General features: G+C 39.5%; 1 protein-coding gene across 8 annotated transcripts in view, besides 1 other annotated feature; it reads left to right on the top strand.

The window, feature by feature from the left end:
* FHIT (fragile histidine triad diadenosine triphosphatase) overlaps window positions 1-25810 on the top strand; it is a 1504176-nt gene that overhangs the window by 308402 nt on the left and 1169964 nt on the right. The window lies entirely within an intron of this gene.
* Window positions 6506-7705: an enhancer, noted in NCBI's record as "P300/CBP strongly-dependent group 1 enhancer chr3:60921018-60922217 (GRCh37/hg19 assembly coordinates)". NCBI's record gives its function as "activates an origin of replication core promoter dependent on BRD2, BRD4, P300/CBP, MED14 and CDK7 cofactors, with strong dependence on P300/CBP, by STARR-seq in HCT116 cells {active_cell/tissue: HCT116}" and the evidence as "EXISTENCE:reporter gene assay evidence [ECO:0000049][PMID:35650434]".

Raw genomic sequence — 25810 nt, 5'->3', positions numbered from 1 at the left:
TAATGCTGATGAATAAAAATTATATTTACTAATTCTTTATTTCAGAGGAAAAAAGCAGGAGATTAGAAACTGATACTTTTCAAAACTTTATACATTTGGAAACTCAAAACTGTACCTGTCAATAATTTGTGAGTCAAAGAAAAATGATGATAGAAATTAGTACATACTTTAAGTCTTGTGGGACACAAAGAGGTATATAGAGGGAAATTTATAGACTCATAAATGTATACGTTAGAAACGGAAGGAGACATTGTTAGGGAATTAAGGATTCAATTAAAAAGGTATAAATAAAATAGCAGAGTAAACCCAAATACAGTAGAGGGAAGGAATAATACAAAAATATTACCAAAAATGAAATAGAATACAAAGAAACAGTAGAGAAGATCAACCGAGCAAAAAATGATTATTTTAAAGACTAAAACAGCACATTCTCACTTGTCAAACTTGATCAACTACAAAGAGAGAAGAACAAAGAGAGAGAGAGAGAGAGAAATACAAACAGTATTAGAAATGAAAAATGGGAGCTAAATATAGAGACAATTGAAAATAGAAGGTCAAAAGAATATACCATGAATAACTTCTTTATGGCCATACTCTTGAAAATATACCTTCTAATTAACAGGGATACCCTATGTATATATATCCATGATATACACATTGTAAGCTAGTGTCATGACTAGAGATTGAGAAACATAATGACCAGGTTAAGTCTGGCTTCTGAGAATGAAAATTCATTCATTCACTCAATTAATATTTGTGGATACCTACTGTATACTTTTAATTATGCTGGTGCTAACATATTTTTATGAATGAGAGAGACATTAAACAAATCAGTAAAAAAAATAACTACTTCAGCCTGGCCAACATGGTGAAACCTTGTCTCTACTAAAAAATACAAAAATTAGCCAGGCATGGCTGTGGGCACCTATAATCCAGCTACTCGGGAGGCTGAGGCAGGAGAATTGCCTGAATCCAGGAGGTGGAGGTTGCAGCGAGCCAATTGTGCCATTGTACCACCCTGGGCGACAGTGCAAGACTCCATCTCAAAAACAACAACAACAACAGAAACTATTTACAATTTTGGTAAGTGCAGTATAGGAAAAGTGAGAGTGTTTGACAGGGAACCTAATTTTACCAGGGCAAAGGGCAGATCAACAAAGGTTACTTGAAGAAGTGATATTTAAGCTTTGATCTCAATGGGTAGAAATTATCCAGGCTAGAAGGTGGAACAGAGTCTAAATACAGAGCAGAAAGAAAATGATATATCAAAGCAGTGTGGTATGAAGGACGAATAGGGGATCAGAGGGTGCAAACGTAGAAAGGTGTGTGATTCGGTTTCAGTGGTTGCCATGGAATATGGTCAGGATTTGTATGAGCTAAACGCATTAAATTCATATATCTCAGCAATGTGCAAACAAATTTTCTCTTTGCTTTATTTAAATCCTAAGAACATAGTCAGTAGAAAAAGTATAAAAACATGGATAGGAAAGAAAGAAACCAATATCATTCAGAATAGTGATTGCTTCTAGAGAAGGGAGAGCAGAGGGGACCTCCGTATCCATCCCTTATAAATGCAAATTCCTTTCCTGAAAGGATGTATAAAGTTAGCTGCAATCATGAGTTTGTTAATTTCTTTAAGTGTTGGACTTATCTGGAATGGAGCCCTCAATTTAAAACACAGAGTAGAAAATTATAGAAGAGAAATGAAGGTGCCATTTTTAAGGGAGCAGTAGTTTAGACAGTACTACTCAAAGTGTTGTATGTGGACCAGTTCATGAAGAGGGAGGTGCAGAGTTTGGGAGTAATGGTTTAAAATGGCACTTTCCCACACAACAGCCACTAGCTACATGTGACTGTTGAGTACTTGAAATGTGGCCAGTCTGAATGGGGACATGCTGTAAGTGGAATATACATGCTGGATTTTGATGACTTAATTTTTTTAAAAAGTTAAATATCTCCATTATATTTGTATACTGATTACATATTGAAATAAGGTTGTGGATCTATTGGACTACATAAAATATTATTAAAATTAATTTCAACTGTTTCTTTTTACATTTTTAATGTGGCTACTAGAAAGCTTAAAATCAGACATGTGGCTCCTATGATATTTCTGTTGGACAGTGCTGGTTTAGAGACTGTCATAGCAGTTTGACACTACCACTAAATCCAAGTGCAATTTTTATTGTATTTTATAAAAGTATCACCAACCCACAACATATTGGAGTGAAAAATATAGTCAACTAGTTTTACATCCTAAATAGTTTGTGAAGCACTGCTTTAAACCATTCATAACTTCCAGAGCATTTTAACCACTATGCTTATTATAGGAAAATATGTATACTGTAAGGTCAATTTTTCAGAACACTATGAAATATTCTAAGAACCTGACTATTAAATTGATTTGGCTCTCTGTGTATGAAAAAAGTGATTGATAAAGATGTCATCATATAACCCTCAGACATTATCATATAACCCTCATTGTATTTATTTTCAGTTACATAACTTGTATATTGGATTCGGAAAGAATATAATAAAAACTATAGTACAGAACCCATTTTTAAAAAATCCAGTTGGAGGACCAGTTTGATATCCACTAGTTCTTATTTTGAGAATTAAAAAACTTGGGGTACAGAAGCTCATATCTCAGATTAATTACATTGCAGCTTTGAAAATACACTTAAGTAATTGTCTTCTTTAGATTTTGTTCTATAAAATTGACTTATTTTTCTTCAGAATAGGCTAGTTAACATTGGACTTAGAGTTTGGCACACGTGAGCTTGTGATTTACAGGGCAATTTTTCTCATCAAAACCTGGGCAGAACCATTTATTTTAAAACCAATATTTATTTTACAATGGGAAGATGGAGCAGATTAAAGGAGCATAAAACTATGATAAATCACCCAGTCTTTATCCCGTAGAAATTCTTTTAAATGGCTCTTTAAGTAATAGCAGTAAAACCGTTTCATAGAGTTTGTTTGGATGGTTTTTTAGCATATGGTATAGTCATGTAGATTAAAATCTAATTAATGAAGCCTTTATAATAATTCAGACATGGTCTGTGTGATTCCTTTTCAATAAAAAGTACAATATGATTTTTCTTAGCTACGTTTCTGAGTCTTGATCATGATTAAAAATGGAAACCAGTCTAAAATTCTTAGCTGTTTCAAATCAAAGACCCAGAAGTTAAATTTCTTTTAATGTTTCTAAAATTAATTATTAAATAGTAACCAATTTTTACATGAAATATTTAAGAACATGTATATCTATGTGTATTATAGATTATTATGCAATTGTTGAAGAAAGGAATTTTTACAACTTATTTTGTTTTATTTGGTTCGCATTTATGTCTTCGGTTATAATAATTTCTGTAGTAAAAATAATGGAGCTACATTTTTCTAATAGTATTCTTTAATACTATTCTAATGATAGTGAAGTTATATCACATAGAGCATTTGGACCAATTAAAAATACTAATGGGAATAAAATATTTTAAATGCAGATCTGCTTGTAGTCACGGTGAATTTTTTAAAAATAGGAAGTCTGTGTCCTATTGTTGAATGGATGTCTGGATTCTGTATCTAGTTAATTATGGATTCTAGGTCAGGGTTGGCAACCTTTTTCTGTAAAGGACTAAAGGGTAAATATTGCAGGTTTTTTGGTAGTATGGTCACAACTACTCAACTCTGCTGTTAATGATGAGAGCAACCTTAGACAGTATATGCATGAATGGGTGTGTGTGCAAATCCTTTAACCAAGCACTTCTATGTCTGTGAATATTCCCTAAGGAAATAATGAGAAGTTTTGGTAAACAAGTGCGTGCAAGAGAATCAATTATGGTATTACCGAGTAACATGGAAAACTGTATATGAGCCCTAGTTAATTCAAAGAAAAGCAACAAAGTAGAAGTTAAGGTGTCATTTGACTTTAATGTAATGTGCGTATGTATATGAGATTGGACCATGTAGAATTGCACCTAATTGACTGCTTTTTATCTGCAAAATGATAATTTTATATGGACAACCTAAGATGTATACATAGAAACAGACTGAAAGATTATCCACCTATAGTTTTCTGGGCGGAAGAAATAGAATAACTTTTACCCTTTTCCGTATGTTCATTATTTACAATGAACATATTTTAACCTGCAATGAGAAAAATGATGCAGGGTTTTTAGAACGAAAGAAAGGCTTTCCCATTCAAATTATGTTTCTCAATGATAAAAATACACAAAGAATACACATGTAGCTCTCTTTGGAGGGGACGGGACCTCCTGTGAGAAACTTGGAGAATTGTTTTTCTATTGGCAAGGCCATTTCTGTTACGGCAATGGATGTAGAGAGCTGCAGCCAAGGGACATTGGGTATTCTTTCCCATTGGTGACTCCATCTCCCCTGACGCTGTTTAACATTCAGTTCATCAGATGAACTCCTCTTGTTCAGATTCCTTACATGTCAGATTGCTGCCTGATTAGGATTTGGTTTTGCAGGGAAGACATTTACAGGAAGGGAATGAATGTATTGGTCTTTCTGACATCTGTGCAACAGCTATACTGCAAATCGTAGACTACTACTTTGACATTCTGGTTTTATATGTTGGTCTCATGAGTGTGTTTAATGAAGTCCATCTCATGAGAAATGGATTCCATACTGTGTGTTGAGAAAACCAAGGCCAAGGGGGCTGAAGCCTGGTATAGGGGACCATGTAAAGTGTGGATGACTTTCAGCTGGGCTTCTGGGGAGAAAGCCTGCTGCCCTTCCTCATACAGCATTCTACATAGCACAACACAGTAGGAAGCTTAAGTCTTTTCCTATTTGGACTCTGCCCCTTTCCAACTCTCAAGTTCTGCAATTCTTTGACTTTTCTGTCTTCAGCCCTTGCTTCCTCTGCTTTTCTCACTGCTTTTGTCACCTAGCAGAAACAGTGGTGAGAGACTGCTACACAAGAGACATTGTTTGCTGCTGGTATTTAACTTTCTCCTGGAGTTTTCTGTGGATGACATTGATTTATGGTGCAAAGGGCCCTCTGCTTTGGAGCTGACCTGTAGAGAAACAGAGTCCCTCAGGCCTTCTGTGAGGCTGGGACCCCCTTGTTCCAGCGACAGGGATTGGTATTTATGTGAGACTGTGGGATATCCCCCTAGAGCCAGGTGATTCCTGCAGTGACAATGTGAAGAAAAGTAGCAGAGGGCCGGGCGTGGTGGCTCACCCCTGTAATCCCAGCACTTTGGGAGGCTAAGGCAGGCGGATCACAAGGTCAGGAGTTGAAGACCAGCCTGAACAATGTGGTGAAACCCCATCTCTACTAAAAATACAAAAATTAGCTGGGCATGATGGCGTGCACCTGTAATCCCAGCTACTCAGGAGGCTGAGGCAGGAGAATTGCTTGAACCTAGGAGGTGGAGGTTGCAGTGAGCGGAGACCTCACCATTGCACTCCAGCCTGGGTGACAGAGTGAGACTCCATCTCAAAAAAAAAAAAAAGAAAAGAAAAGAAAAAAGAAAAAAAAAGCAGTAGACCACTTCTGCACCTGAGAGAGGCAGACATTCTGTGAGCTCACATATTTTTCTCATCAGACTCTGAAACAGCATTTCACTGTATTTTGATACAAATGTTCAAACTACACATTAGGGGTAATTTCTGCCTCATTTGGAGCACGAATCTAAATGATTGTATCTCCATTAGAGAAAATGAAGAGCCCTCTGTGTCTGATACTACTTCGTTAAAGAGAAAATATTCTCCTAGTAGGCAAAAGTTACTGACCAAATACAGCCCCAAATCAAAGATCATTCCTACTAAGAACTCTTACATTAGCTTCCTTTTTCATGAATTAATGTGGGTCTGTGGAATCTACATTTCTTTGAAATATTTGCACATTTTCCCTTTTCAGCAGATGAGAGAAAATCTTCATTGAAGACACATTCCTTTGTCACTTTGGGGGCTGATAGGGGATGAGAGTCTTTGTATTTCAAGACATCTAACCTGCTTACAGAATTTGAGGTTATACATCTTGAGTAAGCTTTAGGTCTGAAAATTGAGACTTCAGCTCACAAAGTGTTGATTACATCCCTTTGCTTAGCAATACAGTTTAGTCATTTGTAAAAAGTCAACTGAATACAATTTGGCCTCATCAATGAAATGTATCAAGAACCATAAAGTAGTAGAATGATGTTAAGAAAAATAACCTTTCCTTTTTTTCTTTGCTTTCTTTGTATTAAAAAATGAAAATTATCCTCTTTTCCCTTTGAGTTCATGCTACCAAAGTTTACAGATTTTATTTTCAATGTTTAAATGTTTATGCAAGGGGAGTTCAATTTACAAATCTAAATGCTACCAACACAACAGTTAATTTTAGAAAATTGTCAGTCACCAGACACACTAGCTCTAGAAGAAGAGGATTCATTTTCTACATAGGCAATAATGTATGTTATAAAAAATCAAAAGATAGTCACATGGAAAGGGGAAAAATGAATGTAGATCAATAATTTAACTCTGACCTAAGTTCTATAACATGGCTCATAATTTTTCAATGAATAGACCCTTAACATTTTACATATAGAGCTTCAGTTTTGTATTGATCTGCCCTAATGTATTCGTCATTTCACAGAAGGAATAGCATATCTCAAATCTTTAACAAACACACATTGTGTCGGCCTGCAAATGTTAGCCAAAATATGACAACATGTTGTTATTTACTCTGTTTTCAGAACTACTTTTTTTCTGGCTAAATAATTTTTTAAAATTGGAAGAGAAATGGATAGTAAATGAATGATGACTTGGAGGGCAAGTTCATGGAGCTCTTTCTTAGTTAATAGATTCCTAGTCTTTCTGCATTACTTAATTGCGTATTAAAAGTGGAACCCTTGATGTACCATGTACAGCATATATTTATTCTGTAGAAAATTATTAATTTTTAATGGACTAAGTGGCTGTTTGGACAAGGGACCCTGACTATTAATCAGGAGGTGAGTGATTGACTGACTTTCATGTTCATTAATTATTCAAGGAAGTTCACCTACAAGGGCCACAACAGAAAAAAGTTTCTGTCAGTATGCACATTTTAGTACCATATTCATTTACTCACTTAACAAATATTTAATATGTGCCACGCATTGATGATTCAGTGATGAGCAAGACCATCAGCCTCTGTCCTCAGGAAGCTGTCAGGGCAGTGCATAAAGCAGAAGTGTGTCCATGTGCGAAGAGAAGGAGAATGCTACCGAGCAGTTTAGAAGACTCAGTTTTGCTTGACTCCCCTCTCTATTTAGGAAGTGATTATTCTCTGTACATATTTCCTAAGTCTCCTGGAAATTCAACCTAGCCAATTCTAATTCTTATCTGAGAAAATATTTTGTTTGGAATGATAGGGTCACAGTTTCTTAGAGTCAGAAGAGACTTGAGAAGTTATCGACGGATGCACCCTTGTCTTCCCTGCCTCAGCCGGGACACATCCAATGCCCAGAAGAGAGCAGGCTCATGTGTGGGGCCATTTCTGTGTGGATTGTTTGAAACTTTTTCCAAATAATGAACTGCAGCTTATTTCCCTGTGTATTCTCTTTAATGATTCCAGTCCTGTATCCTGGATAAAATAATAACATCTCATTTACCTCTTATTTGGAACACATGTCATAATTGTCCATTTATTTGTGTGATTTTTGTATCATTACTCTGTTTTCCCTTTTAAACATGTGTACCTCGAGAGTGGAATTGTGTCTGTTTTTGGTCATTGTTATTTCTCTAGTGTTATCACAGTGCTAGGGAATGAATAAATGAATGGATGAGAATGATTTATCTTGTTCCAAAAGGTTTTAAGGAAGAATACATGGATTTAAACCTACATAATAGTTAATTAACTATTTGACAATAACTGTAATGGTTCTTTCACTACTCCAATTTTTCTGACACTCAGATTAAGATTTTTTTGTAAATTTTCTTCACATGTAATATTGAGTTCAGCTTTTATGGTGTCCATCTGTCTCTCAATGCATCTCACATATTTTTTTAAAGTGCCTCTCTCACTAGGAGGTTTGGGGAAGGCTTCACAGAAGAGGTGAAAATTGGCCTTGTGCTGGATCTTGAAGAATGAGAAAGCATTCTCCATGAAAATGGAGCCAGGAGGGGCACTTTCCGGGGTGCAGTGTTATGAACATGTTTACTCATCTGGCATTTGTTACCTCAGCCCTTTGTGCTTCCCTATTCTTTGGAGATTTTTGACTCATTTTTTCCCATCTTCTTCAGGAACTTGACTATTCTTTCCCCTTTCCCACTTCAACATTGCCTCAAAGCTGGAGGCAGAGATTCTTGTGATTTAGAATTTGCATTAGGGCATTAGACAGTCTGGGTTCAACCCATTTGTTACATGTACTTAAGCAAGGTAGGATACTCCTTTGAGATTTAGCATTCTCCTCTTTAAAATGGAGAAAATAATAGCTACCTCATAAAGTACTTTTGAGAATTATCATATACGTTACATGTGATGTGCTTGAGACACAGTAGAGACCTAACACACTGTAACTGTCATCCTTGCCTGCACTCTAGAAAGCCACTGCTGTAGCTCACTCTGGTGGTATAACCATCTGTCCAGCGGCCTCAGGGCATGCAGTGGCTCAGACATATTTTTTCATGGAAACCTCATCAATGGCTAATAGATGTAAAGCTATTTCAGCTTTTTCCAGGTCCTTAGTTTAGTGGTTTTATATTTCTGCCCTTGTTCTTTCCAATTTCCAGGTGCATGGGATCCAGTTATTTTTTCTTTTCTTTTTTTCTTTTTTTTGATAGGGCTGTACAGGAATCAGAATTGACACATTCGCCCATGAATTTCCCTCTTTTCAGGTCTCCATTTCTCCTGGTACTGCAAAAGCCTAGATTTCTCTGATCTCACCTCTCCCAGCCTCATCTGGGTAACCAACGTACTTATTTCATTCTGGTCAAGATTCCTCTCAATAGGTTTATTGCAGATTGCTGCAGCTGCAATCAGTGTTTACAATCTGATGACAAGTTGGAGATTAAGGCTTGTCATCACTATTTAATTAACCTCAAATTAAGCAGTTTCTGGCCCCATTCCATGCCCTTCCACAAGCCATTCAGAGCTGCTAAAACAGTGGTGTGAGGCCTGATAGATTCCGGGTCACACCACTGGAGAGTGGGAGCTGGCTCAGCAGCCACTCTGAAGAAAATCAACATTTGATTCTTACTCTTATGCCTGAGGGCTGAAGATAGGTAGCTATCCAAAGAAAATGTAAAGGGAGGGGAAGAAAGGAGGGCACCTTTCTATACTAGTAAGTGTGTAGTCTGTGAATTGCAAAGGACATGAGCCAAAAAGTGTTCCAGAGACAGAAGAAAAAAGCCTTGCTCTTAGTGTTTAAAAATAATTTGTTTTTCTAATTGCAGAGGTGACATGCATCAGTAGTAAATGGTAATGGTAAAAAAGGAGAAAAATAATAAGAAAGTGAAGAACATTCAACTTCCTACTCTACACACCCGCTTTTGAGGCTTACCTGAGCTGTCCAATCTGGTAGTCACTATCCTCATGTGGCTCTTGAGCTTTTAAAATGTAGCAAGACTGAGTTGACATGTGCTCTGAGTGTCAACTACACACCGGAGTTCTAAGACTTCATATGCAAAAGAAGAATTCAATATATCACATTATTAATTTCTGTTGCTTACATGATTAAATATTATTTTGCATATGTTGGACTAAAATATATCACTAAATGAATTTCACTGGTTTCTTTTAACTTTTTAAAACGTAACTACTGACACTAAAATTACTTATGTGCCTTGTACTGTATTTCTATTGGATGGTCTCTTTTGGACCATTTTCTCCCCATGTATACAAAATTTTTACAAAGAAAAACTGAGTTATTCTACACACAACTTTGTATCTTCCCTTTTGAAGTTAATATATTGAGAATATGTTCATGTCATGAAATATAAGTTATGGTATTATTTTTAATCATTTATAATTTTTCATTTTATGAATGTCCCTTCATTGATTAATCAAGTCCTCTTAGATAACTACCATTTTTTAAAAAATTACAAATTCTCCACGAGCATACTTATAACTGTATCTTTGGGTTCATCTTCAATTATGCTCCTAGGGTTTGTTTCTGGGAGCCAGTTTGCTGAGTCACAGACTTGCTTGTGGTGTGACTGGCTACAAGGGAAGGGTGAGTGGTTGGTTGTGGGTAGATGAAAGGGAAGCTAGAGAGGAGGAGGTACCAACTGCTAGGGGCTACCCTCCTTTCTCCAGCAGAAAGTGGATGACACCAAAACTGAGAGGTTGGAAGAGAGTTTAATGAACAGAAGATTGACAGAGGTGTGGGTAGATTTAAGGGAACCAAAAAAGATGGTGAAGCAACTATGGAAAGTCTGAAGGAGCAAAGACAGAGAACAGAATTACAAGAATCCAATGAGAGCCCTAGCTAGGAATTAGGGAAAAAGGGCCACTGACAGAAATTATAGTCAAAGCTAGAAAAATGTGGGCACTTGTCAAAAGTCTCAGTTGTGCAGTGTGAGGGGAGGAGAGAGGAAATGGGGAATAGATACCCCCAGACTCTTTCCTCCAATTCTCTGATCCCTTAATGCTGCCTGCCATTGTCTTAGCCCTATAGAAACCAAAGGGCACGGGAGATGAGTCTGTAGAGATCAGTAAGGAAGAGACCACCAGCAGGGCAGAGAAGGGTGGAGAAGAGATAGGAAGAGGTGGGTGGAGAAGAGATAGGAAGAGGTGAGTGGAGGAAAATCAGAACACCAGCTTGGATACTTAAACTGTAGGATAAGGCACTTATCCTGTGTGAGCTTTGCTTTCCTGACCTGTAAAATGTGCATAGTAATACCTACCTCAGAATGTGATCGTGAGAATAAATGAAGGAGAGCACTTAGCACAATGGTTTTTTATTTACTTGTTCTTCATCAGAGGCTTATCAGTGGACCATATCAACTTCTTACCATGTTGTCCATTTATCATGTCTAACAAGTTCATCAAGAGGGAAAGTAGCAGAAAAACTTACCCTGGCAGACTGGGACCTTATATTTAGACTTGAAAAGTTCTCTACACCCTAGTGAGGTAGCCGTTAGTGTTCTGAATTGTGCATATCACACCCTTGTGCTCTGGTAAAAATCCACAGAATTTTTCACATAGTTGGATAATTAGGACACATGCTGTTGGCTCTGCTCAAAAATGGTCATTTAAGTGTCCTTTTATTATTTCTAGCATCCACTGGGAAATTTAAATAGCTACTGCCGGTGTTCTTTATATATGCTCTTTAAAAAATGCTGAAATTGAACAGTTTAATAAAATTGCTGGACTGTCAGCTTCACCAAGCTCTCCCAGAGATAAACCTGAAAAAACAAACTCCATACCCTAAAGTAAATACTTCTGTAAATCAGGGACTTTTACAGGTGCTCCCTGGGGAGTGTAGTTTGACTAATATGGAGTTTCGTTTACAAACAGGGGTGGAAGCCGGAAGCTTCTGAGGCGATTTGACCGCTTCATTTTCCTTTGCTTAACACAGATCTGTACTAAAAACAGGCGGCAGCATTTGGAATTAGGGGCCTCCGAAATGTCATCTCTCTAATTCTTAAGTAGAAAAATGAGTTGCACATAGTGTAAAATAAATGAATATATTTTAAATACATGAATACGTAAATATGTGAATATGTTTTATTTTTATTATTTTTTTAAATTATACTGTAAGTTTTAGGGTACATGTGCACAACGTGCAGGTTTGTTACATATGTATACATGTGCCATGTTGGTGTGCTGCACCCATTAACTCATCATTTAGCATTAGGTATATCTCCTAACGCTATCCCTCCCCACTCCCCCCACCCCACAACAGGCCCCGGTGTTTGATGTTCCCCTTCCTGTGTCCATGTGTTCTCATTGTTCAATTCCCAGCTATGAGTGACAACATGCAGTGTTTGGTTTTTTCTCCTTGCGATAGTTTGCTGAGAATGATGGTTTCCAGCTTCATCCATGTCCCTACAAAGGACATGAACTCATCAATTTTTATGGCTGCATAGTATTCCATGGTGTATATGTGCCACATTTTCTTAATCCAGTCTATCATTGTTGGACATTTGGGTCGGTTCCAAGTCTTTGCTATTGTAAATAGTGCCGCAATAAACACACGTGTGCATGTGTCTTTATAGCAGCATGATTCATAATCTTTGGGTATATACCCAGTAATGGGATGGCTGGGTCAAATGGTATTTCTAGTTCTAGATCCTTGAGGAATCACCACACTGACTTCCACAATGGTTGAACTAGTTTACAGTCCCACCAACAGTGTAAAAGTGTTCCTATTTCTCCACATCCTCTCCAGCACCTGTTGTTTCCTGACTTTTTAATGATCGCCATTCTAACTGGTGTGAGATGGTATCTCATTGTGGTTTTGATTTGCATGTCTCTGATGGCCAGTGATGATCAGCATTTTTTCATGTGTCTTTTGGCTTCATAAATGTCTTCCTTTGAGAAGTGTCTGTTCATATCCTTCACCCACTTTTTGATGGGGTTGTTTGTTTTTTCTTGTAAATCTGTTTGATTCTTTGTAGATTCTGGATATTAGTCCTTTGTCAGATGAGTAGATTGCAAAAATTTTCTCCCATTCTGTAGGTTGCCTGTTCACTCTGATGGTAGTTTCTTTTGCTGTGCAAAAGCTCTTTATTTTAATTAGATCCCATTTGTCAATTTTGTCTTTTGTTACCATTGCTTTTGGTGTTTTAGACATGAAGTCCTTGCCCATGCCTATGTCCTAAATGGTATTGCCTAGGTTTTCTTCTAGGGTTTTTATGGTTTTAGGTCTAACATTTAAGTCTTTAATCCATCTTGAATTAATTTTTGTATAAGGTATAAGGAAGGGATCCAGTTTCAGCTTTCTACATATGGCTAGCCAGGTTTCCCCAGCACCATTTATTAAATAGGGAATCCTTTCCCCACTGCTTGTTTTTCTCAGGTTTGTCAAAGATCAGATAGTTGTAGATATGCGGCATTATTTCTGAGGGCTCTGTTCTGTTCCATTGGTCAATATCTCTGTTTTGGTACCAGTACCATGCTGTTTTGATTACTGTAGCCTTGTGTAGTATAGTTTGAAGTCAGGTAGCATGATGCCTCCAGCTTTGTTCTTTTGGCTTAGGATTGACTTGGCAATGCAGGCTCTTTTTTGGTTCCATGTGAACTTTAAGGTAGTTTTTTCCAATTCTGTGAAGGAAGTCATTGGTAGCTTGATGGGGATGGCGTTGAATCTATAAATTGCCTTGGGCAGTATGGCCATTTTCACAATATTGATTCTTCCTACCCATGAGCATGGAATGTTCTTCCATTTGTTTGTATCGTCTTTTATTTCATTAAGTAGTGGTTTGTAGTTCTCCTTGAAGAGGTCCTTCACATCCCTTGTAAGTTGGATTCCTAGGTATTTTATTCTCTTTGAAGCAATTGTGAATGGGAGTTCACTCATGATTTGGCGCTCTGTTTGTCTTTTATTGGTATATAAGAATGCTTGTGATTTTTGCACATTGATTTTGTATCCTGAGACTTTGCTGAAGTTGCCTATCAGCTTAAGGAGATTTTGGGCTGAGATGATGGGGTTTTCTAGATACACAATCATGTCATCTGCGAACAGGGACAATTGGATTTCCTCTTTTCCTAATTGAATGCCCTTTACTTCCTTCTCCTGCCTAATTGCCCTGGCCATAACTTCCAACACTATGTTGAATAGGAGTGGTGAGAGAGGGCATCCCTGTCTTGTGCCAGTTTTCAAAGGGAGTGCTTCCAGTTTTTGCCCATTCAGTATGATATTGGCTGTGGGTTTGTCATAGATAGCTCTTATTATTTTGAGATATGTCCCATCAATACCTCATTTATTGAGAGTTTTTAGCATGAAGGGTTGAATTTTGTCAAAGGTCTTTTCTGCATCTATTGAGATAATCATGTGGTTTTGTCGTTGGTTCTGTTTATATGTTGGATTACGTTTATTGATTTGCGTATGTTGAACCAGCCTTGCATCCCAGGAATGAAGCCAACTTGATCATGGTGGATAAGCTTTTTGATGTGCTGCTGGATTCGGTTTGCCAGTATTTTATTGAGGATTTCTGCATCGATGTTCATCAGGGATATTGGTCTAAAATTGTCTTTTTTTGTTGTGTCTCTGCCAGGCTTTGGTATCAGGATGATGCTGGCCTCATAAAATGAGTTAGGGAGGATTCCCTCTTTTTCTATTGATTGGAATAGTTTCAGAAGGAATGGTACCAGCTCCTCCTTGCACTTCTGGTAGAATTCGGCTGTGAATCCATCTGGTCCTGGATTTTTTTGGTTGGTAAGCTATTAATTGTTGCCTCAATTTCAGAGCCTGTTATTGGTCTATTCAGAGATTCAACTTCTTCCTGGTTTAGTCTTGGGAGGGTGTATGTGTCGAGGAATTTATCCATTTCTTCTAGATTTTCTTTTTTTTTTTTAGCATTTAAAAATAGGATTTATTTATTTATTTATTTATTTATTTAGAGACAGAGTCTCCATCTGTCACCTAGGCTGGAGTGCAGTAGCACAATCATGGCTTGCTGCAGCCTCTGCCTCCCAGGCTCAAGTGATCTTCTAGCCTCAGCCTCCTGAGTAGCTGGGACCCCAAGGCATACTCCACCATGCCTGGCTAATTTTCGCACTTTTTTTTTCTTTTTTTTTTTTAAAGTTCTTTCATACACTTTATTTGAACTTTTCTTTTTTTTTTTTTTAATTTTTTTAGTATTTGTTGATCATTCTTGGGTGTTTCTCAGAGAGGGGGATTTCGCAGGGTCATAGGACAATAGTGGAGAGAAGGTCAGCAGATAAACATGTGAACAAAGGTCTCTGGTTTTCCTAGGCAGAGGACCCTGTGGCCTTCTGCAGTGTTTGTGTCCCTGGGTACTTGAGATTAGGGAGTGGTGATGACTCTTAACGAGCATACTGCCTTCAAGCATCTGTTTAATAAAGCACATCTTGCACTTCCCTTAATCCATTTAACCCTGAGTTGACACAGCACATGTTTCAGAGAGCACTGGGTTGGGAGTAATGTTATAGATTAACAGCATCCCAAGGCAGAAGAATTTTTCTTAGTACAAAACGAAATGGAGTCTCCTATGTCTACTTCTTTCTACACAGACACAGTAACAATCTGATCTCTCTTTCTTTTCCCCACATTTCCCCCTTTTCTATTCAGCAAAACCGCCATCATCGTCATGGCCTGTTCTCAATGAGCTGGTGGGTACACCTCCCAGATGGATTGGCGGCCGGGCAGAGGGGCTCCTCACCTCCCAGGCGGGGCGGCTGCCGGGTGGGGGCACGCCCACCTCACAGACGGGGCGGCTGCCGGGCGGGGGTGCTCCCCACCTCCCAGACGGGGTGGCGGCCAGGCAGAGACACTCCTCACCTCCCAGACAGGGCGGCCGGGCAGAGGCGCTCCTCACATCCCAGACGGGGCGGCCGGGCAGAGGCGCTCCCCACATCCCAGATGATGGGCGGCCAGGCAGAGACGCTCCTCACTTCCTACACGGGGTGAAGGCCAGGAAGAGGTGCTCCTCACTTCCCAGACTGGGTGGCCAGGCAGAGGGGCTCCTCACATCCCAGATGATTGGCGGCTGGGCAGAGATGCTCCTCACTTCCTAGACAGGGTGGCGGCGGGGCAGAGGCTGCAATCTCAGCACTTTGGGAGGCCAAGGCAGGCGGCTGGGAGGTGGAGGTTCACGCCACTGCACTCCAGCCTGGGCAACATTGAGCACTGAGTGAGCGAGACTCTGTCTGCAATCCCGGCACCTCGGGAGGCCGAGGCGGGCAGATCACTGGAGGTCAGGAGCTGGAGACCAGCCCGGCCAACACGGCGAAACCCCGTCTCCACCAAAAAATACAAAAACCAGTCAGGCTTAGCAGCGCACGCCTGCAATCCCAGGCACTCGGCAGGCTGAGGCAGGAGAATCAGGCAGGGAGGTTGCAGTGAGCCGAGATCGTGGCAGTACAGTCCAGCCTCGGCAACAGAGGGAGACCGTGGAAAGTGGGAGACGGAGACGAGGGAGGGGGGCACCGTGGAAAGCGGGAGACGGAGATGAAAGGGAGAGGGAGAGGGAGCTAGATTTTGTAGTTTATTTGCATAGAGGTGTTTTTAGTATTCTGTGATGGTAGTTTGTATTTCTGTGGGATCAGTGGTGATATCCCCTTTATCATTTTTTATTGCGTCTATTTGATTCTTCTCTCTCTTCTTCTTTATTAGTCTTGCTAGCAGTCTATCAATTTTGTTGATCTTTTCAAAAAACCAGCTCCTGGATTCATTGATTTTTTGAAGGGTTTTTTGTGTCTCTATCTCCTTCAGTTCTGCTCTGATGTTAGTTATTGCTTGCCTTCTGCTAGCTTTTGAATGTTTGCTCTTGCTTCTCTAGTTCTTTTAATTGTGATGTTAGAGTGTCAATTTTAGATCTTTCCTGATTTCTCTTGTGGGCATTTAGTGCTATAAATTTCCCTCTACACACTGCTTTGAATGTGTCCCACAGATTCTGGTATGTTGTGTCTTTGTTCTCATTGGTTTCAAAGAACGTCTTTATTTCTGTCTTCATTTCGCGACGTACCCAGTAGTCATTCAGGAGCAGGTTGTTCAGTTTCCATGTAGTTGTGTGGTTTCGAGTGAGTTTCTTAATCCTGAGTTCTAGTTTGATTGCACTGTGATCTGAGAGATAGTTTGTTATAATTTCTGTTATTTTACATTTGCTGAGGAGTGCTTTACTTCCAACTATGTAGTCAATTTTGGAATAGGTGTGGTGTGGTGCTGAAAAGAATGTATATTCTGTTGATTTGGGGTGGAGAGTTCTGTAGATGTCTGTTAGGTCCACTTGGTGCAGAGCTGAGTTCAATTCCTGGATATCCTTGTTAACTTTCTGTCTCGTTGATCTGTCTAATGTTGACAGTGGATTGTTAAAGTCTCCCATTATTATTGTGTGGGAGTCTAAGTCTCTTTGTAGGTCTCTAAGGACTTGCTTTATGAATCTGGGTGCTCCTGTATTGGGTGCATATATATTTAGGGTAGTTAGCTTTTCTTGTTGAATTGATCCCTTTACCATTATGTAATGGCCTTCTTTGTCTCTTTTGATCTTTGTTGGTTTAAAGTCTGTTTATCAGAGACTAGGATTGCAACCCCTGCTTTTTTTGTTTTCCATTTGCTTGGTAGATCTTCTTCCATCCATTTATTTTGAGCCTATGTGTGTCTCTGCATGTGAGATGGGTCTGAATACAGCACACTGATGGGTCTTGACTCTTTATCCAATTTGCCAGTCTGTGTCTTTTAACTGGAGCATTTAGCCCATTTACATTTAAGGTTAATATTGTTATGTGTGAATTTGATCCTGTCATTATGATGTTAGCTGGTTATTTTGCTCATTAGTTGATGCAGTTTCTTCCTAGCCTCGATGGGCTTTACAATTTGGTATATTTCTGCAGTGGCTGGTACCAGTTGTTCCTTTCCATGTTTAGTGCTTCCTTCAGGAGCTCTTGTAAGGCAGGCCTGGTGGTGACAAAATCTCTCAGCATTTGCTTGTCTGTTAAGTATTTTATTTCTCCTTCACTTATGAAGCTTAGTTTGGCTAGATATGAAATTCTGGGTTGAAAATTCTTTTCTTTAAGAATGTTGAATATTGGCCTCCACTCTCTTCTGGCTTCTAGGGTTTCTGCTGAGAGATCTGCTGTTAGTCTGAATGGGCTTCCCTTTGTGGGTAACCCGACCTTTCTCTCTGGCTGCCATTAACATTTTTTCCTTCATTTCAACTTTGTTGAATCTGACAATTATGTGTCTTGGAGTTGCTCTTCTCGAGGAGTATCTTTGTGGTGTTCTCTGTATTTCCTGAATTTGAATGTTGGCCGTCCTTGCTAGATTGGGGAAGTTCTCCTGGATAATATCTTGCAGAGTGTTTTGCAAGTTGGTTCCATTCTCCCTGTCACTTTCAGGTACATCAGTCAGATGTAGATTTGGTCTTTTCACATAGTCCCATATTTCTTGTAGGCTTTGTTCATTTCTTTTTATTCTTTTTTCTCTAAACTTCCCTTCTTGCTTCATTTCATTCATTTGATCTTCCATCACTGATACCCTTTCTTCCAGTTGATCGAATCGGCTACTGAGACTTGTGTATTCGTCACGTAGTTCTGGTGCCGTGGTTTTCAGCTCCATCAGGTCCTTTAAGGACTTCTCTGCATTGGTTATTCTAGTTAGCCATTCGTCTAATTTTTTTTTCAAGGTTTTTTACTTCTTTGCCATGGGTTCAAACTTCCTCCTTTAGGTCGGAGTAGTTTGATCGTCTGAAGCCTTCTTCTCTCAACTCGTCAAAGTCATTCTCCGTCCAGCTTTGTTCCGTTGCTTGTGAGGAGCTGCGTTCCTTTCGAGGAGGAGAGGCGCTCTGATTTTTAGAGTTTCCAGTTTTTCTGCTCTGTTTTTTCCCCATCTTTGTGGTTTTATCTACCTTTGGTCTTTGATGATGGTGACGTACAGATGGGGTTTTGGTGTGGATGTCCTTTCTGTTTGTTAGTTTTCCTTCTAACAGTCAGGACTCTCAGCTGCAGGTCTGTTAGAGTTTGCTGCAGGCCCACTCTAGACCCTGTTTGCCTGTGTTTCACCAGCAGAGGCTGCAGAACAGCGGATATTGGTGAACAGCAAATGTTCCTGACTGATTGTTCCTCTGGAAGTTTTGTCTCAGAAGAGTACCCGGCCGTGTGAGGTGTCAGTCTGCCCCTACTGGGGGGTGCCTGCCAGTTAGGCTACTCGGGGGTCAGGGACCCACTTGAGGAGGCATTTTGTCCGTTCTTAGATCTCAAGCTGCATGCTGGGAGAATCACTACTCTCTTCAAAGCTGTCAGACAGGGACATTTAAGTCTGCAGAGGTTTTTGCTGCCTTTTGTTTGTCTATGCCCTGCCCCCAGAGGTGGAGTCTACAGAGGCAGGCAGGCCTCCTTGAGCTGTGGTGGGCTCCACCGAGTTCGAGCTTCCAGGCCGCTTTGTTTACCTACTCAAGCCTCGGCAATGGCAGGGGCCCCTCCCCAAGCCTCGCTGCCGCCTTACACTTTGATCTCAGGCTGCTTTCCTAGCAATGAGGGAGGCTCCATGGGCGTAGGACCCTCCTAGCCAGGTGCAGGATATAATCTCCTGATGTGCCGTTTGCTAAGACCATTGGAAAAGCACAGTATTAGGGTGGGAGTGACCCGATTTTCCAGGTGCCGTCTGTCACCCCTTTCTTTGACTAGGAAAGGGAATTCTCTGACCCCTTGTGCTTCTCGGGTGAGATGATGCCTTGCCCTGCTTTGGCTCATGCTCAGTGTGCTGCACCCACTATCCTGCACCCACTGTCCGACACTCCTCAGTGAGATGAACCTGGTACCTCAGTTGGAAATGCAGAAATCACCCGTCTTCTGCATTGCTTACTCTGGGAGCTGTAGACTGGAGCTGTTCCTATTCGGCCATCTTGGCTCCACCTCGTGAATATGTTTTAAATACATAATTACCAGACTCTTTTAGGAAGTATAATTATTGAATGAATAAGGTATCAATTAGGAGGACCAGCTTGCATTTACTTAATCTTTACAAGGTTCTGGTCACTATTTAAAATGCTTTGTGTACATTATCTCATTTCATCCTCACAGTAGCCCTGTGAATGAATAGTGTTTTCTTCATATTACCTACAGGGAAATGGAGGCTCTGAGAAATGAAGAAAAATGGTTATGGCAGTGTCATGTTTAGCAAGTAGCAGAGGCAGGGATGAAACACACACAACATTTGACTCCAGAGTCTGAACCCTTAACCACCATTCTATGTCATTTCTTCCCTAAACGTTTGTGGAGAAACTTGAGAAATTTTGTAAAAAAATGACAACTTAGGTAAACCCATGTGGGATAATTAGGCACAGTTTTTATTCCCATAAACCACTTGCAGATTGTAGACATGTTCCTTGGTTTCTTACTAAAAAGCACCATCTAAGTGAATCCCAATATTAAATCTACCACACTAGTTGAGCTGAGCTAAAGGAGTTTTATGGCCAATGAAGCAAGATGTTTACTGCGTATTTGCTTAACATTAATGATTTTTTATTTTTAATGATCAAGTGTTATTCAAAGTTTAACTTATACTAGTTATACCACATGCTGAAAGGCATCTCTAATTGTACATGTATTGACTGTGAGAGGATGCAAAGTAGGATTCCACAATTTTAATTAACTGTTCCTCCTCTGACATTTCATTACTGGTTCTGGAAGTGGTAGTAGATGGCAGACAGTTAACTGTAAGAATTTTTCTTTAAAGAAGGTAAGATGGAGAAATGTTAGTGTTGTCTTGGTGATTGGAGAGGAAAGCAGGGAAGGGAGAGAAATGGCTGATAGCTTAACATGTTGATAACATGGTTGAGTAAACAAGGCTTCCAGCATTTGTAGGTAAATTTTAAAAATTTGAGCAGATAGACAAAAATGGAAATAAAAAATAAAGAAATCACTAACTTCAACTTTTGCAACTTTTATATTGCAAAGGCAATTTCTTTCTCCTGAAGGTGGGTACCTCCTAGACATCATATATCTTTACCCAAAAGAGTTTTTGAGGATTTTCTGTGAGTCCCAAGGGGCACAAATGTGAAGGTCAAAGATAATGGGTCCCCATCTGACACTGGGCTGATTTGCCAAGCACCCAGGATGCATTTTTATTTCTTTTTCATGGTAAAAGCCAGAGAGAACACTGTAGAGTTTAAACACGGTTTCTTTATCTGGTGCCCGCATGGGGAGATGAAGGTAAAGAGGCCAATTTATCCAGCAAATGTGCCCAAGCAAGTCGGGAATAATTACCTCCCTTGACATCTGACAAAACTTTGCTGCATCCCCACAAAAATTCTATAGGCAGTCCTTCCAAGTCATTTTCAGAGACCCCACCATGGCAGGTGAGCTTATTTATTTATTTCTATTTTGAGAGATCCACCTTTCTAGACTCTCTTTTAAGGTTTGCCTCCTGTGTAATGAATGGAGATCAGTGGGTATTTCATTACCAGGTATCTCCCTGCTGCAGGCAGTGCCTGGAGAAGTTTCTCTCTGTTTAGCTTTCAAGCCTCATTTATTTTCTCATGCTTTCTACTGTGGGCAGAGCCTGGCCGACTACATTATTAAATTACTATTATTACACTGTGATGTCTTGGCATGATCAGGGGCTAAGTTGGAAAAGATAGTGTTGGGCAGGGAACATGTCTTGCCCCTTCCCTAAGCTGCCCCAGATGGACCTTGGCTGGCTTGTTGGGTCTGTTTCAGCAGCGGAATTCTCTGAAGACAAAGGGAAGGTCTGATCATATTTGAAGCAGTTTTTCTAGTAAGTGTAAGGAATGAACATTTCACTTTTAAGTAAGTGGCTTTTGATTTAAGATCAACTGGATAATTCATGGTGGTCATGTTTTTGGGGAGAGGGGATGGCATTTCATATTCAAAGGATTTGACATTTTAAAAGTTATAATGTTATTTAAAAAGCTATAATATCATGAATATATTTACATGTAGTTCATTTATGTTTACACAAGCTTTCAAAGGCTGTCTATTCTCAGCAGAGAAGTTTTAATTAAAAGTATTTTATTGCCATTCGAACCCTCCTTAAGTGAAGGCACTGTTCTTCACTTCTCTGTTTTTCTTTCTCATGCACTCTTGATAATCAACCCAGCCTTATTTACAATAAAAAAGTTATTGCTATTATATTTTAAGTGATTTCTCATACACCACCATGTCACCAAAGCTATACAATACCAGCATATAGTCAGTGCTCAGTAAATTCTTGTGAAAGGAGTGGTTCAATACGGCCCATGCATTTTATGGTTCAGCCATACCGAAAAATGTTTTAGCAAAGACACTGCCTGGTCCACCTTTGGAATTTTACCCACCACTCAGAAGTGTCGTTTGCCTTTCAAGTCTTAGCACTTTTTAGACTGCTTATTTGTGAGTTTTCTCCTCCGTCCCCTATCTATGCACAGTTCCGGTGTATGCATTAGGTGCTTAATAAATATCTTACGGAATGAGTGAGTTACCAAATGAACCTATACTTATACAGTTAGCCCTCAGAGAAATCGTCTGCGGCAGTTTACAATTTTTGTAAACAATAAAATAATAAAAATGAAATTTGAAACATTATTTTTCTTGTTCAGTCCTTAACTCAAAACTCTCTAATGCCTCCCTGTTCTCTTTAGTAGTGGTTTTCTAATGATGATAATCCGATCATGGGATCATGCCTTTTTCCTGCTTGAAAGTCTTTCAAAGGCTTCTCATTACCCTTGGGATAAATGTAATTTAAATTCTTTAAACATGACTGAAAAGGTTCTACCGCTCCAGCTGCAGTTCTCCCCACGCCTTGTTTACTCTTCCACATGTTGATCGTGGAATATGTTGAATCCAGGAGGTTTCCTCTTCCCCAGGTCCTTGGCATGTTGGGTTTCCTCTGCTTGGGGCACTTTTCACCTCACTTAGTTAACTCCTTTTATGTTTCAGTTGGTCTTATTTTAAATATTACCTTCTGAAGGAGGCCTTTACTGTCTATTCCCTGCCACTACCACTGATCACCACCACTATAACCCCACCTGCCTCTACCGATCTAGACTATTTTCCTTCTTTGTATGCCTTTGAAGTATTTTATCAATGAAATGGAATAGTTGAATAATATGGGATGTTTTGGACAACTCATATGAAATACTAAGCTAATGCAATTTAAATTGATAATTTCTGCAATCTTAAGCTTTTCTCTCATAAATTTCTCTTCACTATTTTGGCAGCTCACATGACCCTCCCCCATTTTCCCAAAGCATGCATATTTATTATAGGCAAATGCTGTGCTAAGTGCTTTACATACATTTATTCATTTGCTTCTCACACCAGCCTTATAGTGGATACTGTTATTATCTCCCATTTTATTGAAAAAATTAAATTCATTGAGCTTAAGAAACTCACATAGAAGTGAATGGCAAGCTGAGGTTTAAGTCCATGCTATATGCACTCTTTTTTTTTTTTTTTGAGACGGAGTCTCGCTCTGTCGCCCAGGCTGGAGTGCAGTGGTGCAATCTCGGCTCACTGCAACCTCTGTCTCCCTGGTTCAAGCGACTCTCCTCCCTCAGCCTCCTGAGTAGCTGGGACTACAGGCACATGCCACCACACCTAGCTAAGTTTTGTATTTTTAGTAGAGATGGGGTTTCACCATGTTGGCCAGGATGGTCTCGATCTCCTGACCTTGTGATCTACCTATCTCGGCCTCCCAAAGTGCTGGGATTACAAGCATGAGCCACTGCGCCTGGCCTATGCACTCTTATTCCCTATAAAAAATATACAGCTCGTGATTAGACAGGTAAAGTATTCGAAGACCTGGTAAGTATTTGAAATATGTGAAAATAGCCTTGTTTGTATATTGGTTATCTTCAATTTATCCTTTCCTACCCACTCTCTGCTTTGCTCTTTGCTTGGGCAGTTCTCTGTGAACTCTATAAGTAGGCTCCCGCCTTGTCCCTGGGTATTGCATTAATCCTTGGTTTCTCCACACCATGAATACACTTTCTAAGCATTTCTGCAGATTACCCTATTTGAGTATTTTGTGAGTCATCTGTTTCTTGCCCATATCATAATAGATATAGACAGCTTTAAAAAAAAAAAAAAACTGTGGTTGTGATTGTGCTTTTGTAATTCACATATAGTATAAAGTTGTATTTACTTCTTTCCACTTTGTGTTTAAGTTTGTATAATGAAATGGTATAATGGAATTGAAGATTGCCATATTTCTTGCTGTCTTGAAAATAAGAAGCATGCCACACTCAAATATAACGCGTGTGTTTTCAAGGAATTTGACCTTGTTGCAAATTGGGAAACCACAGTCCTACAGAATATTTTCCAGAATCCTTAGCCTGACATGAGGCCCCCTGCATCATCTTGACAAGAGCTTAACTTTCTTCTCTTTTCCACTGAGCCCCCTTTGCTTACTTTAAAGGTTGACTCTGCTTTGTGTCTGGGTAGGTAGTGACCCAGATATTTAGTCCATGATTGACTGCCATTAAAGCAACTCCCTTTTTTTTACCCATAGAAGTTTACATATGAATAAAATTATATGTTATTCCATAAATAAAAGCCCTTATCATAAATAGGGAGTAAAAGTTTAAAGAGAAGTACAAAAAATAAAAAGTAAAATAATGCCATTCAGATTGGCAAGTGTTACTAAGGTGTTTAACAATTAATGCTGAATTAATACTTTTTCATTGCATGTATTAGAAAGATTAAAATCAAATGGAAAGAGATATAACTTTATTATTCTTTGGTTTGTCCTGTCAGTGGACCATGTAACACCAAGGTTCCATGCTTTGATGTTTGGGGAACACTGGTATAATCTATGTGTCTGCCCCTGCTGTGCTCTCACCCCAAATGCCTTCTTCCTCCTGGTTTCCTTTCCCAGATCTTCTCCAGCCTTCTTTTTGAACCATTCCTTCACCCTCTCAGCCTACACAAATCTCTCCTCCTCAGAACTCTCTGACACTTATTGCCTGCCCTACTCATGTTGGCTTTTGATCATTAACTCTTTTTAGTTGTCATTTCAGTAGTTTATATTTCATGTCTTGCCTCCCAAATTATATGCAAGTTTTTGTCTCTAAACTATATAACAGATAGACACTGGGACCTATGTTTCTGGAATTTCTTATCTAATAAGAGTTTAGTAAATGTTTGCTGAGTTGAATGAATTTAACCAAAGTCAGGTAGATGCTGTTTTCTCAACTATGGGTGTATTAGTCAGTTCTCACACTGCTAGTAAAGACTGGCTAATTTATAAAGAAAAAGAGGTTTAATGGACTCACAGTTTCACCTGGCTGGGGAAGCCTCACAATCATGGTGCAAGGCAAAGGAGGAGAAAGGCATGCCTTACATGGCTGCAGGCAAGAGAGCTTGCGCAGGGGAACTCCCATTTATAAAACCATCAAATATTGTGAAACTTAATTACTACCACGAGAACAGTATGGGTGGAAGTGCCCCCATGATTCAATTATCTCCACCTAGCCCTGCCTTTGACATGTGGGAATTATAAGAGTTACAATTCAAGATGAGATTTAGGTGGGCACACAACCAAACCATATCAATGGGTGTAGTTCACAGTCATAGTATGTTTTTCTGTCTGGTTGGGATGCACTTTTTTATCTTTGCTTCTTCTCATCTTCATTGAAGTTACATTCTAGTAGGGGATATACAGAATGAACAGATATACATCTAACTACATCATATAATGTCGAGTGGAGTTAAATGATATAAGGAAAGTAAATCTGCATGCATTTGATAAAGAGTTTTGGGTTATTTTTTAGATAGGGTGGTCAAATAATCCTTTGTGATGAGGTGACATTTGAGGACATACCTGAATAAAGTGAAGGAGGAAAAACATCTGAATATTTGGGGGTCTAACCTTTTAGCTGGAAGCAGCAAGACCTGAGGGTCTGAGTTGGGAATGTGCTTGATAGAGGCCAGTGTAGGGAGGAGAAAGAAGTGGTAGATGGATTCCATATGTGGCCTTGCCAGCCATGGCAAAGATTTTAGATTTTAATTATGAGCAAAACCAGTAGAGGGCTGAAAAGAAGGAAATGATGCGATCTGATTTATATTTTTTAGAAAATCATTTCAGCTGCTGTGTAAAGAAGAGGCTGAAGGGGACAAGAAGAGAGGCAGGTGGCCAGTCAGAAGGCTCTGGCTGTGTGCCAGGGAAGGCAAGCATGGTTTGGAGCCTGGTAATCTTAGCACACAAAGTAGGAAGTAGTAACAGATTAGGGATAAATTTTGAGGGCAGAG

This window comes from Homo sapiens, chromosome 3 (assembly GCF_000001405.40).
Source record: "Homo sapiens chromosome 3, GRCh38.p14 Primary Assembly".
Taxonomy (NCBI): Eukaryota; Metazoa; Chordata; class Mammalia; order Primates; family Hominidae; genus Homo; species Homo sapiens.
The sequence above is the reverse complement of the archived record's forward strand: the minus strand, read 5'-3'. Positions and strand labels throughout refer to the sequence as shown.